This window comes from Homo sapiens, chromosome 4 (genome assembly GCF_000001405.40).
Source record: "Homo sapiens chromosome 4, GRCh38.p14 Primary Assembly".
NCBI lineage: Eukaryota > Metazoa > Chordata > Mammalia > Primates > Hominidae > Homo > Homo sapiens.
Genome location: NC_000004.12, coordinates 56,627,951 through 56,644,024, shown reverse-complemented (window position 1 = coordinate 56,644,024; position 16,074 = coordinate 56,627,951). Strand labels below are relative to the sequence as shown.

At 43.2% G+C, this 16,074-nt stretch overlaps 2 annotated features.

The window, feature by feature from the left end:
- Positions 2,075 to 3,274: an enhancer, noted in NCBI's record as "P300/CBP strongly-dependent group 1 enhancer chr4:57506917-57508116 (GRCh37/hg19 assembly coordinates)". NCBI's record gives its function as "activates an origin of replication core promoter dependent on BRD2, BRD4, P300/CBP, MED14 and CDK7 cofactors, with strong dependence on P300/CBP, by STARR-seq in HCT116 cells {active_cell/tissue: HCT116}" and the evidence as "EXISTENCE:reporter gene assay evidence [ECO:0000049][PMID:35650434]".
- Positions 7,868 to 8,368: an enhancer, noted in NCBI's record as "H3K27ac hESC enhancer chr4:57501823-57502323 (GRCh37/hg19 assembly coordinates)". NCBI's record gives its function as "activates a minimal SCP1, AML or CMV promoter by ChIP-STARR-seq in primed H9 embryonic stem cells {active_cell/tissue: H9 hESC(primed)}" and the evidence as "EXISTENCE:reporter gene assay evidence [ECO:0000049][PMID:30033119]".

Genomic DNA, 16,074 nt, shown 5'->3' with positions numbered 1-16,074 from the left:
TGGTGGACTGGGCTTAGGAACTTTAAAATATCAAATGTTCTATTTTCAATGACTATCTATACAGTGCTGGGCTTGCTGTCACTATGCTGTAATTGTTTTTTGCTGTCTTCAACCTTCCCAACAGCTCTGTCTCACAAAATGGCCTTGTACTGGTGATGCTTTAGGGATTGGGGAAGGATCTGCTTGAGCCGCGCTTGCAGGAGGCCGTAGACAGTGAAAGTGCTGGCTTCTGTCTGCCTCTTTTCTGGTAATAGCACCTTCACATTTGGGGAACTACTTCTACTTCATGTGGTCCTGATAGAGCCGTTAATCACAGTTCCCCAGATTTCTCCCCCCATGACAGTTAGACCCAGGCTGGCCAATGACAGCGTCATAACCCTTGGCATACATGAACTGAACCAAGTATGGGCTCTCGACCTCCCAGGTTCAAGGGATCCTCCTACCTTAACTTCTCTAGTAGCTTGGGCTACAGGCATGCACCACCATACCTGGCTAATTTTTTTTTTTTCTTGAGATGGGATCTCACTATGTTGCCTAGGCTGGGCCAAAGTCCTTTGCCAGAATTGTTGCAATTGGACCTGGAGAGATGGTTCTACATTGTCACCTTTCATGGAGAGTTGTGAAGATGGAGGGCTGGGGCTGCAGGTAGCCTTTGACTCGGACTCATGGAGAAAGCCATTCTGTAAAGGGAGGGAATGAAGCCAGGCAGATGGGAATGAGAAAGTCCTGAGGCCTTGGTTCCCACTCTTCCCTGGGCTACCCCAGCCTTCCTGGCTCTGTGAACTAGTGAATCCCTTTCTCAGTGTATCTGTCATTTGTAATAAAAAAGAGCCCTTACTAATGGGAGAGCAAATAAAGGAAGAGAGAAGTGCATGGAGGGAGGAATCTCAGCCCCTAGTGTAATTAAGAATATAGGGGAACCAGAGATTCATAGTAAGAGGTAACCAGAAGTAGCACTAGATTTTTCTCAGCCAATGGGAACTTGAGAAAAATTATTTTTACATACTAAAAGAAAAGATAACCCCTGACAAGTGGAGAATTTATGGACCTCAAGGGGTTACATAATTTTTAAAACTATATACAAATGTATGGCAGATAAGTTACCCTCTTTTTTTTTTTTTTTTTAAGAGAAAAGGTCTCAGCTGGGCATGGTGGTTCACACCTGTAATCCCAGAACTGTGGGAGGCTGAGGTGGGCAGATCGCTTGAGCCCAGGACTTTGAGACCAGCCTGGGCAATAGTGAGACCTCATCTCTATTTCAAAATTTAAAATTAAAAAACAAATAGAGACATAATCTTGCTTTGTCACCCAGGCTACATAGAATATGGTGGTGCAATCATAGCTCACTGCAGCCTTGATCTCCCTGGATCAAGGGATCCTCCTGCCTTAGCCTTCAGAGTAGCTGGGATTACAGGCACCTGCCACCACACGTGGCTATTTTTTTTCTTTCTTGACAGCCCAAGCTGGTCACGAACTTCTGGGCTCAAGTAATCTTTCTGCCTCATCTCCCAGTGTGCTGGGATTACAGGTGTGAGCCACTGCACCTGGCCTGTTACCTTCTTGGAGACTTTTTGCTACTCTCTCTCAACTCTGGTCCTCATGTGTAAACTTTGTTCCACATCTTCTATTGTCCACTGAAAGGTCCTTTAAAAACCTCATATTGGGAGGCCAAGGCGGGCGGATCACGAGGTCAGGAGATCGAGACCATCCTGGCTAACACGGTGAAACCCCGTCTCTACTAAAAATACAAAAAAAAATAGCCAGGCGTGATGGTGGGCGCCTGTAGTCCCAGCTACTCGGGAGGCTAAGGCAGGAGAATGGCGTGAACCCGGAAGGCGGAGCTTGCAGTGAGCCGAGATTGCGCCACTGCACTCCAGCCTGGGCCACAGAGCGAGACTCCGTCTCAAAAAAAAAAAAAAAAAAAAAAAAAAACCTCATATCAACTGTTCAAATGTATCCTTGTCTCAACTCAATGTCAGAGTGACTAATAACAATTGTGGTAATAATACAAATAATTTGAAATTTCACATTCTTTTCCCATGATGGACGTGCTAAGAGGTAGTGAAGTGGACACAAGTCAGGCAAGGATCCGGGACATCAGCCACAGCTTATATTGGCAAGGCAGGAGATAAGATTTTTGGTTTTATGAAACCTGGCATTATGAGCCTGGTGAGCTCTATAGAAACAATTATAGAAACAGAGGAGCAAAGGTTCCTAGAGACCCTCTCCTTTACCTTCACCAAGACAATTGTATCATTACAGATAGTGAGTGCTGCTGCATGAGGAATGTGCTCCTGTAAACAAATATCAATGTGGCTTCTTAGAAGAGTCTGCCAACTAAACTTAGAAAAACATAAGAAACGTTTATTTGAATCTCAACTTATATAACTCATCCAACTACTAAATGCAATGACAAACTGACTCATGGTTCATATGAATCAGCCCTAGCATTCCAGATTAGTAATGCAGAAGGCGTTTCTTTCTTCTTTCTTTCTTCTTCCAGATAGAAGCTCTCTCTTCCCACTCCTGTAAAAAAAAAAAAAAAAAAAAAAAAAAAAAAAGCTCTTTAGATAGAAACTTGGCATTCTCTGGGAGTGAAGAAGTCAAGTGTCCTGGGATAGTGACCCTAAGAGGAAGAATCCTCAGGGGCACAGGAACTGTAATCTAGAGAAATAGTTTCATTTCATGTATTCATGTATGAAAAGGAGACTACATATGTGTATTTATGTAGCTAGAAGGGCAGGTTAAGGGAGAGAATTCTGATTGTCCCCTAGCTCTTTTTCCCTTCTTTCAGTAGTTTTATCTGGGAGATGGCTGCGTGTCTAAAGTCTACGTTTTCTCACTTACTTTATAGTCAGGTTTTTAGCCAGCCCCCAAGATGCCTCCAACAATCTCTGCCTCCTGGTATTCACACCTCTGCATAGTCCCTGCCCACATTGTGCCACAGAATTGGTACATTGTGCCACAGAATTGACTAACACAATTAAGCAGAAATACTTCTAGGTCACTTCTGAGATTAGGTTCTAAAGGACACTAAGCTTTCTCTCTATCTCTCTCTCTCTCTCTCTCTCTCTCTCTCTTCCCCCTGGGATTACTTGCTCTGGGAGAAGCATGTTGAGCAGCTCTACATGTTGAGAAGCTCATGTGGCAAAGAACAGAGGCCTCCTGACAACAGCCAGTGAGGAGGTGAGCTCTGCCAACAACCAAGTAAGTAAGCTTAGAAGTACATCCTCCAGACCCTGTTGAGCCTTCAGATAACTGCAGCGCCTTAGCCACTACCACTCAGCTAAGCTGCTCCTGAAATTATTTGATATCATAAATGTTTGTTGTTTTAATCTGCTAAGCTTTGGGATAATTCGTTATGCAGCAATAGATAACTAGAACATTACGTGTGGCCAAGAAAGTAATATGTGCACTTCAGGGTCATGCCTCTAAAAGGAATAAGTATGCTTTCTTGTTTCTCCTTCCCACTTCCTAGAATGCAAGCATAGTAATGAGCCATCTTACTGTCGAAGCTGCATGGGTGACAGCAACACCTTAGGGTTGGAGGACAACCATGCAGAAAGAGCCTGAGTCTCTGCATTATTCAGGAAATACTAGGTTTAACTGCACTAACAAAAAACCTCCAGTCTTAGTGTTTTCAAAGCAGTGGTTTATTTCCAACTCCCTCAAATCTGCTGCAGCTCTGGGCTTCTAGACTTGCAGTTTAGCAGTGACTACGTTCTTCTTCTCAAGACAATGGCCTCTATCAGGAGGGCCCTCTACACAGCTACAGGTCTCTCCAGCTTTTGGTAACATCTTCTTCCCCTTGACCCTCCCTTTGACCCAAGCCTAGAGGTGGTAACTGTTGTTAGCCCCAATGCTTCACTATCCCTTGTTGGTGTCCCTTAATATTCTTCATACCTTTGTAGAGTTCCTTCATTAAACTGCCTTCAATTACCTCTGCCATCTATTTTCTGTCAATATCCTGACCTATCCAATCCTTCTTCCTCAAATGATAGCTACTAGTCAAAACAGCCAATAACATAAGAAATGGAAAGACATGTAAGTCCCAAAGGATGATCTTTTAGATTATAAGCAGAGCGAACATGCACTAGCACCCAAGTCTCACAGTGCATAGAAAAGATATCCCCTTTGTTGTCATCATCAAGATAGTGAGAAGCAGTGGCATCCAAAATATCTGTGAATCTAGGCCAAATCATTCCAGTAAAAAGCTATTTGACCTACTTATTCCAAAATTAAAGCTTATTCCAAAATATTTTCAATATTCAGTTCAAGTATTATTGACATACCAATTAATTCCTCAGCTGGGCTTCCACTGAGTTCAGGCAGAAAGTTCTAAATTAGGGCATGAAGTTTGCCAGGTTTCTGTTTTGAACAAGTGTATTAGTCCATTCTCACACTGCTACAAAGGTACTACCTGAGACTGGGTAATTTATAAGGAAAAGAGGTTTAATTGACTCACAATTCCACATGGCTAAGGAGGCCTCAGGAAACTTACAGTCATGGCGGAAGGCAAAGGGGAAGCAAAGACGTTCTTTACATTGCGGCAGATAAGACAGAGCTAGCAAGAGCAGGGAAAACTGCCTTACCAAACCATCAGATTCATGAGAACTCACTCACTATCATGAGAACAGCATGGGGGAAACCAATTCCATGGTCCAATCACTTCCCACCTAATTCCTCCCTCAACACCTGGGGATTACAACTCAAGATGAGGTTCGAGAGGGGACACAAGGTTCGGGGAGGCCTCCAAAAATCTCACCAGCCACAAAGTATAGCTCACAGCCCAACTCATTGCATGGTGGGGGAAAAAAAACAAAAAAACAAAAGAGGAGGAAAGAGAGAGAGGAGAGAGGGAGGCTGACGAGGTTCACAGAAAGAAAGCTGACTCTTCAAATGAGGAGACGCCTCTTCTACATTAAAAGCAAACAAACAAACAGCCTCATTTGGAAGTCCTCCCTGAGGGGCCACAGGTAGGGGACCTAGAGAAAGATAACCTCATCCAGAATAGAGAATGCGACTTTGCTCCAAACACATCAGCTTCCAACAGGGAATCTGCAGTGGCCAAAGGGGCCGCCAACAAGATAATGGAATATGATTGTTGTCCACAAAGATGCCTAGGACAGAAATTCCTGTAGGATCAACAACACAGCTAGGAAGAAAATGAAAAAGTCAGATTCTTCATCCATTTATTGAAATATTCACCAAGGCTGGGTATGGTGGCTCATGCCTATAATCCCAGCACTTTGGGAGGCTGAGGCAGATGGATATCCAGAGCTCAGGGGTTGGAGACCAGCCTGGGAAACAGGGAGAAACCCCATCTCTACCAAAAATGCAAAAAAAAAAAAAATTTAGCTGGGTGTGGCAGTGCACACCTGTGGTCTCAGCTACTTGGGAGGCTAAGGTGGGAAGATCACTTGAGCCCAGGGGGCAGATGTTGCAGTGAGTCGAGCTCGTGCCACTACACTCTAACCTGGGTGACTGAGTGAGACCCCACCTCAAAAAAAGAAAACAAAGGAAAGAAAGAAAGACAGAGCAAGAAAGAGAGAAAGAAAGAAAAGAGAAAGAAAGAAAGAAAGAAAGAAAGAAAGAAAGAAAGAAGGAAAGAAAGAAAAAAAAAAGAAAATTCACCCATTCTAATCCACAACAAACAATGAAAACAAAATTCAAAATCATGCATACTTGTTAAGATACTTTTTGCTACAAGTGACTGAATACTCAACTGAAAGTGGCATATCAGGTTTTTTGTTTTTCTGTAGGTCATTCCAGGTTCAGTTAATTCAACAGCCTGACTAGGCCAGAGCTCTCAATCATCCTTTCTGGGATTCTCTTCTCTTTCTCCTCATGGTCCCAAGATGATTGCTCCAGTTCCAAGCATCACATCCTACATGACATCATCCAAACACAGGAAAGGTCCTGGCTTTATTTTCAGGCATCTCTCATTTTATTTTATCACAGAGGAAAAGCCTTTTCCCAGAAGCTCCTTAGCAGTCTTCCCTTACCTCTCAGTGTCTGGAGTTGGGCCACATGCCCACTCCATGCCTATAATTGGTAAAGACAATCAGCACTTGGAACAGACTGGCACATAGCAGGAGCTTATTAAATATTTGTTGAATGAATGAAAGGTGGATTGGATTACCATGGTTGGCTTAGACCAATTATAGCCCATTTCCTAGAGCCCATTTTCCTAGAACACATTGTTGACTAATGGCTGAAGAAAACTGGCATTTTCTTATCAAGGAAGAAGGAAGGAACGGCTATTGGACAGTCAATAGTGTATGCCACATTATGCTATTTCTTAAAGCAGGGAACCAGAGCAACCCATTAAAAGGGCTTATTGTTTTCTAATGGTTACCTTGTAAAAAAGTGTTTTTGGATTTAAACAAATTGTTCATGCAAGGGGTATCTCATTAGTGAACAAGTTACACTATTCTAAAGAGAAATGGACTTTTTTTTTCTGCTCCAGCTTAGACATCAGTTCGTACAGATATTCTCCCTGCCTAAACCCCATCTGGGTTGGGTATCCTTCTTCTATGTTATCAGGCACTCTACCTCCCCATGTTACAGCAGTTACCACACTGGATTATATCCACTTATTTATTCTGTTTCCTGCAGTACAGGCTGTTACATGTTCACCAAATCATGTTTTCTTTTCTTGTGTGCTACCTTTCTCAATCCCCTTTGCAGTTAGGTGTGGCCATGTGACTGAGTCTGGTCAATGGAATGTGAGTAAAGTAGTGTATACCACTTTCAAGCTTGGCCATAAAAACTACCTGTGCAATCTCCTGGCTTTCTCTTTCTTAATCTGCTGGCTTAATGGAGAAGACTTTGTGGACATAAAAAAATATGGAAGGAGGCTGGGATCCTGAAGGACTGCATGGAACAGAATACCTGTCTTCTCAGCAATCCACACTATTCTAAGATGAACTTGGTGAAGAATGCATTTTTTATTGTGCTAAGCCACTGAGAATTGAGTATTTATGTGTTTTTGTTATGGTCGTTATCCAACTCTAACGAATACAGTTCCTCAGAATAAAAACTTACTGAAAGTAGAAATCTCTGTCTTGTTCACCATGCTTTCTTGCCCTACCTAGCACAGTGTCTGTCACATAATAGGCACTTAAGACACTTTTAAAAAATGAAATAAACGTAATTCTCCCAACTTGTAGCGAGTATCTACTAAATGCCAAAATAGCTTGAACTTTGTAATGCCATTTAAAAAACCTAAAATATTTCTCCCCAAAATTTTGAGGAGTTAAGTCAAAGACACTGAAAACACAGAGGAACACTCTGCCCCAGCCTCCATTTGCCTGGTGGCAAACTCTTCCTTCCTTACTGGGGACAGCACTTGCTTATGGGTCCAGAGAGGGCATCAGCGGGCACCAGAGGACTCGGGGAACAGATTTTATGATCTTCCCACATTTTCCTGCCTTTTAAAAGACTGGAGCCACTCTTTCCTTTGTCTTGTCACTGTGTAGGATTTATGGCTCTTTGTTAATATAGTATTTAATCTAGGCCCCAAGCTAGCTTGAGTAATACTTTTAAACTGAGGCCTGTCTTGCATGGTGGGCGCAGCATCCACTAATGAACTTCTGCTTGTTTTCCTCTTTTTAATCTGACTTTTGTTTTTAGGAGAGTGTCTCAACTAAGAACCTAAAAATGGAAGAAAAAAAAAAAGAAAAGAAAAAAAAAAGAAATTGTGTTTTCTCCCTTACACTATATTAGTAATTTTTGATATCACTTCATTGCTCAACATAGAAACAAATGTCAACAGAAGAATGGTGAAGTTCATAATTCAGAAAGGAGAGTTTTATTTCTCTTACAAGTTTGCATCCTGTAGGGTGGCCATTCTTATGAGCCGGGAGGCATAGCATCCAGCCAGGGCCCGGAAACAGACACTTCAACGGTGGAAAGAATAAGACAGGAATGTATGGTGAGCAGGGTGGCCAAATATACATATTCAATGAGGTATAGGAGGAGTGATGAATAATTATGAGAGGAGGAACATGTGCATGTGCAACTGAGCGTCATGCCTCTCCATGGGAACCACGTTCCCAAAACGGTGGTGTTAGCATTGATACAAGAATGGAGTGTTTGCTTGTTTGTTTGTTTGAGAAGGAGTCTGGCTTTGTCACCCAGGCTATATTGCAATGGCGCGATCTCGGTTCACTGCAACCTCCGCCTCCCAGGTTCAAGCGATTCTTTTTTTTTTTTTTTTTTTTTTTTTTTTTGAGACGGAGTCTCGCTCTGTCGCCCAGGCCGGACTGCGGACTGCAGTGGCGCAATCTCGGCTCACTGCAAGCTCCGCCTCCCGGGTTCACGCCATTCTCCTGCCTCAGCCTCCCGAGTAGATGAGATTACAGGCACGCACTACCATGCCTGGCCAATTTTTGTATTTTTAGTAGAGATGGGGTTTCGCCATGTTGGCCAGGCTGGTCTTGATCTCCTGACCTCAAGCCATCCACCGGCCTGGGGCTCCCAAAGTGCTGGGATTACAGGCGTCAGCCACCGCACCCGGCCCAAGAATGGAATTTTCAGTCCTCTGAAGTCAAAAAGTGGGGGAAAGGTCATGGAAATCCTCACCGCGCATTCTCCATAGACTGGACAGAACCAATCTGTGCTCTAATGAGGTGTGTCCGACCTCCCCATTCAGTCTTGGCTGAGAATGCAGCTTCCAAGGTTTCACTGGAGTCCCGTTGGCCAAGAAATAGTCCGTTCAGTCATTTGGGAGGCTTAGGATTTTATTTTTATTTCTCATTGACCATAAATCCCTTAAAAAGAAGGGCTGAGAATTATCTATTGTGATTGTCCTTTTTGGCAAAAAGGAAGGTAGGAAAAACGCTGCATCTCATTATTTATTTATTTATTTATTTATTTATTTATTTATTTATTTATTTTGAGACAGAGTTTCACTCTTGTTGCCCAGGCTGGAGTGCAATGGTGAGACCTTGGCTCACGGCAACCTTCGCCTCCCTGATTCAAGTGATTCTCCTGCCTGAGCTTCCCGAGTAGCTGGGATTACAGGCGCCCACCACCACGCGGGCTAATTTTTGTATTTTTAGTAGAGACAGGGTTTCACCATGTTGGCAGGCTGGTCTTGAACTCCTGACCTCAGCTGATCTGCCCGCCTCAGCCTCCCAAAGTGCTGGGATTACAAGCATGAGCCACCGTGCCCGGCCTGCATCTCGCTTTTTAACTTGTAAGTGGGACTAAGAACTCCAGGGGACAAAGTGGATGGTGGAAATTTTTCCCCAATTTTCGTGTGCTTAAGAGGACACTTGTTAGCGCGTTTGTTGGTCTGTGGATCTGTCTCTTGCTTCAACGATGTTTGGATAAAACGGACCTGGGACTCCCTTTCTTCTAGCCTCTGACTGCCCTCCCATCTCCTCTCCACCTGCAACCTCCAGAATCACCTTCTCCACCATCTCCTGCTTCTGGGGCTGTTGCAGGACTTTTCCTTAGTTCAGCTAAAGATGGAGTCATTGTCCCACAGCCACGAGAGTTTAGGCTTGAAGACGGTTTGAAGGGTGAGTAAAGCAGAGCTTTATTGGGTGAAAAGGAAAAAAGAGGGGAACAGGGACTCTCCGAAAGGCCGCAGTTCCTCTTGGTGCTCTTCCTGCCTCGCAGTTTGAATCCCAGGTTCCACACAGGAAGAGGAGGGGCCAGGCTCTTCCGTGCTGCAAACTGCGTGAACTTCTCAAGGCTCCACCCTAGCGCACAGGCTAGTTGGAGTTTTTCTGGTAACCCTTCCCACCTGACTGTGTTAGGACCAGCCACACCATTTTTGTGGTTAGCTCCCTATTGCTGACCGACCAACCATGAGTTCCCAGATTTAGCAGAATTATTCGACATATGTGGAGGCAGCCATCAACTCCATCTGTGGGCTTCCTACAATTACTTCTCTCTGGGCTTCTATTTCAACCATGATGATGTGGCTCTGGAAGGCGTGGGCCACTTTTTTTTTTGGTTGGAGGGAAGGGTGTCCCTCAGTCACCCAGGCTGGAGTGCAGTGGCAGTGGGACAATCATGCTTACTTTAGCTTTGACCTCCTGGGCTTAAGTGATCCTCCCGACTCAGCCTCTCGAGTACCTCAGACAACCGGTGTGCACCACCACACCCAGATAACTTTTTGTTTTATTTTTGTAGAGAGTGAGTCTTGCCCAGGCTGGTCTCGAACCCCTGGGCTCAAGTGATCTTACTGCTTCACCCTCCCAAAGTGCTGGGGTTGTAGTCATAAGCCACAGCACCTGGCCTACTTCTTCCACAAATTGGTGGAGAAGAAGCACTAGGGTGCCCAGTGTCTCTCCAAGACGCAAAACCAGTTTGGCGGCCACGCCCTCTTCCAGGACTTCCAGAGCCATCTAAAGATGAGTCGGGTAGTCCAGATGCAGTGCCTCACATCTGTCATCCCAGCACTTTGGGGGACCCAGGTGGGAGGATTTCTTGAGGCCAAGAGCTTAAGATCAGCCTGGGCGACATGGCGAGACCCTGTCTCTACAAAAAAAAATTTTTAATTAGCCAAGCATGGTGGCATGCACCTGTAGTCCCAGCTATTTAGGAGGCTGAGGTGGGAGGATTGCTTGAGCTCAGGAGTTCGAGGTTACAGTGAGCTATGGATCATGCCACTGCACTCCAGCCTGGGTGACAGAGTGAGACCCTGTCTCAAAACAAACAAACAAAAAAAGTTAAAAATACAAATCAAATTTTTTTCCTACCACTAGAATTATTAAATTAGAACCTCTGCAGGTAGGGCTTGGGAATCTATATTTTTAACCAGCTCCCCAAACATTCTGATGCCCAATGAAATATGAGAAGCATTGCTGCCTACCTTGCCTATGTTTGTTTTTCAGTAAGTTAATTGAAAACAATTTTAGCATCTCCCATTCCATCCCCTTCCCTTTTAACTAGCTAATGTCCATGCTAGGAAACTGCCTAAAAATAGCTTAGGATTTCCTTCCTGCTGGCACTGGTGGGGGTAAGACAGTTACAGGCTTCCCCTCTCACCTCTGTTTTTATTGTTTGTCTTTCATCTGTCAGCTGCAAAGCATTACTGGCTCCATATCTCACAGGTCCTTGCAAATTTCGTGCTGCCAGGACTTGGCCAAGGTTAACGTAGCTGCTGACTTTCTTTTCATCTCACAAATGACCACTAGAATTTTCATTGTTGGTGAAAGTGTAAAATGATACAATTTCTTTGGGAAAACGGTGTTCGACAATATCTACTAAAGTTAAATATGTACCCATTCCATGACTGGGCAATTCCACGCCTAGCTATATACCCAAGAAAAGTTGAATGTGTACATCCACAAGAAGGCATGGACACCAATATTCATAGCAGTTCATTCATAATTGCTGCAAACTCAGAACAACCCTTCTGGGTTTGTCCAGTAACAGGAGAATGGATAAATGTTATGACATATTTATACAATACTATATGGCAATAATTTAGAAAATAATTGATACATTTAGCAATATAGATGGATCTCAAAAACATGTTATGCAAGAAGAGCCATCTGCAAATGAGTATATGCTGTATTATTCCATTCATATGAACTTCAAGAACAGGCAAAGCTAACCCGTGGTGATAAATAAGAATAAGAGCTACTTATAGGTGAGGGGAGGGGGCTTTTGAACTGGACAGGGTATGAGAGAATTTTCTGGGAAGATGGAAATATTCTATTGATAAATCTTGATTTGGCTGGTGGCCTCAGAGGTGTATTTGTGTAAAAATTCATTGAGCTATACTCTTAAGATTTGTGCATTGTACTGTCATTCCAGATAGATGGCTAGATTCCATTGCTATCAAAAGACAGATCTAAAAGCACATGCTTGTTACTTCCCCACCCTTTCTTGTCTGAATTTCTTCCACTCCACAGGCCTCTATAGTTTTTTGTGTTCTTACGTACTTGCCAGACATTTCTTGTGGCCACCAGTCTTTTCTCTGTCTTTCTTCTAGAGTTTCCTCTCCTTGCAGTCGCCATGAGCAGCACCAAAACTGATCCTTTGTATTCACCCCCTTTGCCTCCAACCAAGGGAGCCAAGGGTGGGTCACTAACTAGCTAAAACCCTGCATGCTTGGCCCTTCTATAACCTGAAGTAGCTGTTGCCTTTTTGTTTTGTTTTGTTTTTTGAGACAGAGTCTCTCTGTGTTGCCCAGGCTAGAGTGCAGTGGTGTGATCTTGGCTCACTGCAACCTCCACCTCCTGGGTTAAAGTGATTCTCCTGTCTCAGCCTCCCAAGTGGCTGGGATTAAAGGCATGTGCCACCATGCCTGGCTAATTTTTTGTATTTAGTAGAGATGGGGTTTAACCACGTTAGTCGGGCTGGTCTTGAACTCCTGACCTCATGTGATCCACCCACCATGGCCTCCCAAAGTGCTGAGATTACAAGCATGAGCCACTGTGCCCATCCGCTGTTACTACTCTTTATGGCTGTTTAAAATCTCCCATTTCTATTTCTTTGCCCATTTCCATCTTCTTCACAAATTGGCTCCAGCTTCTGGGGATGAATGAAAACATGTTCTACTTTGGTTGGTAGATTTAATTCGGACTGCTGTGGTTTTGGACAAAATCCCAGATAGATTTATCAAACAGAGTCAATGTGACAGCAAAGCAACTTGGTGAGCTGCTAACAATGGAGGATTTAGAACACCAAAGCTGGGAGGCCAAAATTAAAGACAGTTAAATGAACTGCTAAAGTTGGATGATCAATGCAGAAGAGAGAGCACAGACGTGTGTAAAAGCCCTCACATGTATGTTGTATCTTAATTTTTCACTCAGAAATTTACAAATGATAAAATTCAGGTTTTTCAGAGCAGAGGTGCCAACATATTTGGACAGAATCTGACTTTTGTTCCAAAGTGGAATGAATGAATCTCTGCCCACAGTTGAATCAACCTAATCCAAAAGGAGAAAAAAAACTGTAAAGCTAAACTACTGAACATTTCTGAGTCACCCACAAAAATGAAAGTATCAGTTAAACAGGAGAAATTAAGGAGCCATTTCGACTTGGAAGGGGAGTCTGTTCTTGAGGGCATGCAGTTGTCTTTGCGGATTGCTGTTCTTGGATAAAAGTAGACAGGGAGAAAGAGCAGTCACTTCTCAAGTGACCCCAACCTGTTAAGAAGGCATGATGCTCTAGGCTGGTGGCGCTTAACCTTGGCTGCATCCTGGAATTACCTAGGGAGCTTTAAAAACCACTGTGGCCTGGATCCCACCCCAGAGATTCTGATTTAATTGGTCTGGGGTGTGGCCTGGGCATCAGGATTCTTAAAAGCTCCCACGTGATTTTAATATGCAGCCAAAGTTGAGAACCACTACTCTAGATTCTAGAACCTGGACCCAGCAGAGCACCTCACAGGCTACTAAACATTCAATAAATATGTGTTGTACTGGTAATAGTAATTTTAAATGTTTTAAGTTGAGATATAATCCACATAACAAAATCCACCATTTTAAAATTTGATTTGCTGATTTTTTGTCCATTTTTCATGTCATATAACCATTACTTCTATATAATTCCAGAACATTCCCATCACTCCTGCTATAGACTAAATATTTGTGTCCCTCCAAAATTCATATGTTGAAATCCTAACCCCCAATGTGATAGTATCAGGAGGTGCCTTTGGGAGGTGACTAAGTCATGAGGGTGGAGGCCTCATGAATGAGATTAGTGCTCTTACAAGGAAGAGACACAAGAGCCCTCTGCTCTCTAGTATATGAGGATACAATGAGAAGACAGCATCTGCAAACCAGCAAGTGGGCTTTCACCAGACACAAGATCCACCAGCTCCTTGATCTTGGACTTCCCAGCCTCTAGAACTGTGAGAAATAAATGTTTGTTGTTTAAGGCACCCAGTATATGTTAATTTGTTATAGCAGACCTATATTAGGCCATTCTTGCATTGCTATAAAGAAGTACCTGAGCCTGGGTAATTTTTAAAGAAAAGAGGTTTAATTGGCTCATGGTTCTGCAAGGAAGAAAGCTTCTACAGGAAGCATGGTGCTGGCATCTGCCTGGCTTCCAGAAAGGCCCCAGGAAGCTTACAATTATGACAGAAGGCAACGGGGGAACAGGCACATCACATGGCGAAAGCAGGAGCAAGTAAGAGAGAGTTGAGGGGGCAGGTGGCACACATTTTTAAATGACTAGATCTCATGTGAACTCAGAGAGAGAGCTCACTTATCACCAAGGGGATGGCCCCAAGCCATTCATGAGGGATCCACCCTTATGATCCAAACACCTCCCACCAGACCCCACCTCCAACACTGGGGACTACAATTCAACATGAGATTTGGGCACAACATCCAAACCATATCACAGCCCAATATGGTTTGGTTGTGTCCCACCCAAATCTCATCTTGAACCGCAGTTCCCATAATTCCCATGTGTCAGGGGAATGACTGGGTAGGAGGTAATTGAATCATGGGGGCAGTTACCCCTATGCTGTTCTCATGATAATGAATGAGTTCTCATGAGATATGATTGTTTTATAACAGGCTTCTCCCCCTTTGCTCAGCATTGCTCCTTCCTTCCACCACGTGAAGAAGGACGTGTTTGCTTCCCCTTCCGCCGTGATTGTGAGTTTCCTAAGGCCTCTCCAACCCTGTGGAACTGTGAGTTAATTGAACTTATTTCCTAATAAATTATAATTACTGCTGGGCAGTTCTTTATAGCAGTGTGAGAATGGACTAATACACAGCCCAAACTAAGACATCTCCAAAGAGAAACCCTGTACCTATTAGCAGCCAGTTTCCATTCTCTCCTCCCCTGAACCCCCAACCACTTATCTATTTTCTGTCTTTGTGAAGTTCCCTATTCTGGGTATCTTATATACGTAGAACCATATGATACATTGTCTCATGTCAGGATTTTTTCACATAGTATAATATTTTCAAGACCCAACCATGTTGTACACCACAAGGTCAAACAGCAACCATTTGGAATCTTTTGGAGGTTTAGAGAATTCAATTCCTTTTCAATCAAGTGTTAAACAAAGTTTATAGGAAGGCATTGTTTTGGACTAGTCTCCTGCACTAGGCTCCAGCAGACCAGACCAAACCAAAATGGAGTCATTTATGTTAGCTGAAGCAGGTAAATCCCCAAATGGACTAGCGTTCTCCTGAAAACAAGAGATTCACAGCAACCAGAAAAAGCCAAGTTTGCCTGAGTCAGCATAATAAGGAAGTCCCCTCTGCTTTAACCCTTATAAGAAGTGACCTGTAGTAAGCTTGTGTTAACCAATCTACTTTTTAAAATTATTGTTTCCTCTGTTCCAATGATGCATTCTGAAAAAATTTTTTAAAAATTATTGTTTCCTTGTTCCCACTTACAAAATCTATTCTGCCACACCCAGGAGAACACTCATTCTATTCTATAGATTGAAGTGTTGCCCAGTTATAGAATAGCTAATAAAATTCACTTAGATTTTTAAACTAAATGTGTCATAATTTTATCTTTTGATATAAGTTGCTCCATTTGTACCAACAAGTGAGAATTGTGAGTGAAAACCCCACCAATAGTTTTAGATTCTGCAATTAGTAAATAAGTCGTAGACCATCTCCAAAGCCAAGGAAGTTTCAAAACAATAGCAGCAACCTAAGAGGTCCTGTTTATAGGGTTAGCTGAGCCTAAATAAGGATAATAATTAGGGAACTTGCTTTGAACTGTTGGGGGAAAAAGCCACAGTAGGGCCAGATTTAACACATATGCCAGAGAGAAGGATTGTTTTGCTTTAAGGAGCTGAACAGCTAGCCAGAAGGAAGAGCGAACCTTCGGTATTTTTTTCCTGCTCTGGCCAACATCATCATTCCTTTCATCTTCTCTCATAAGGAAGCTACTATGTTGTCCAGTCCTGGTACAAAATACTTATTCCATAAAAGCACATGAGTCTCTAGCCTGACAATCAGAAGGGACTTTCCCTTCAATCTCTCCTCTTTTGTGCTCTGCACTCCTTAATGCTTGGGGGATGTGGAGAGCAGTAAGAAAAGCAAAGCCAAAGAATTATGATCTCTGGGTCATTTAATGAAGCTAGTTTATTTATTTATTTATTTTAGAGCCTGAGACTTACTT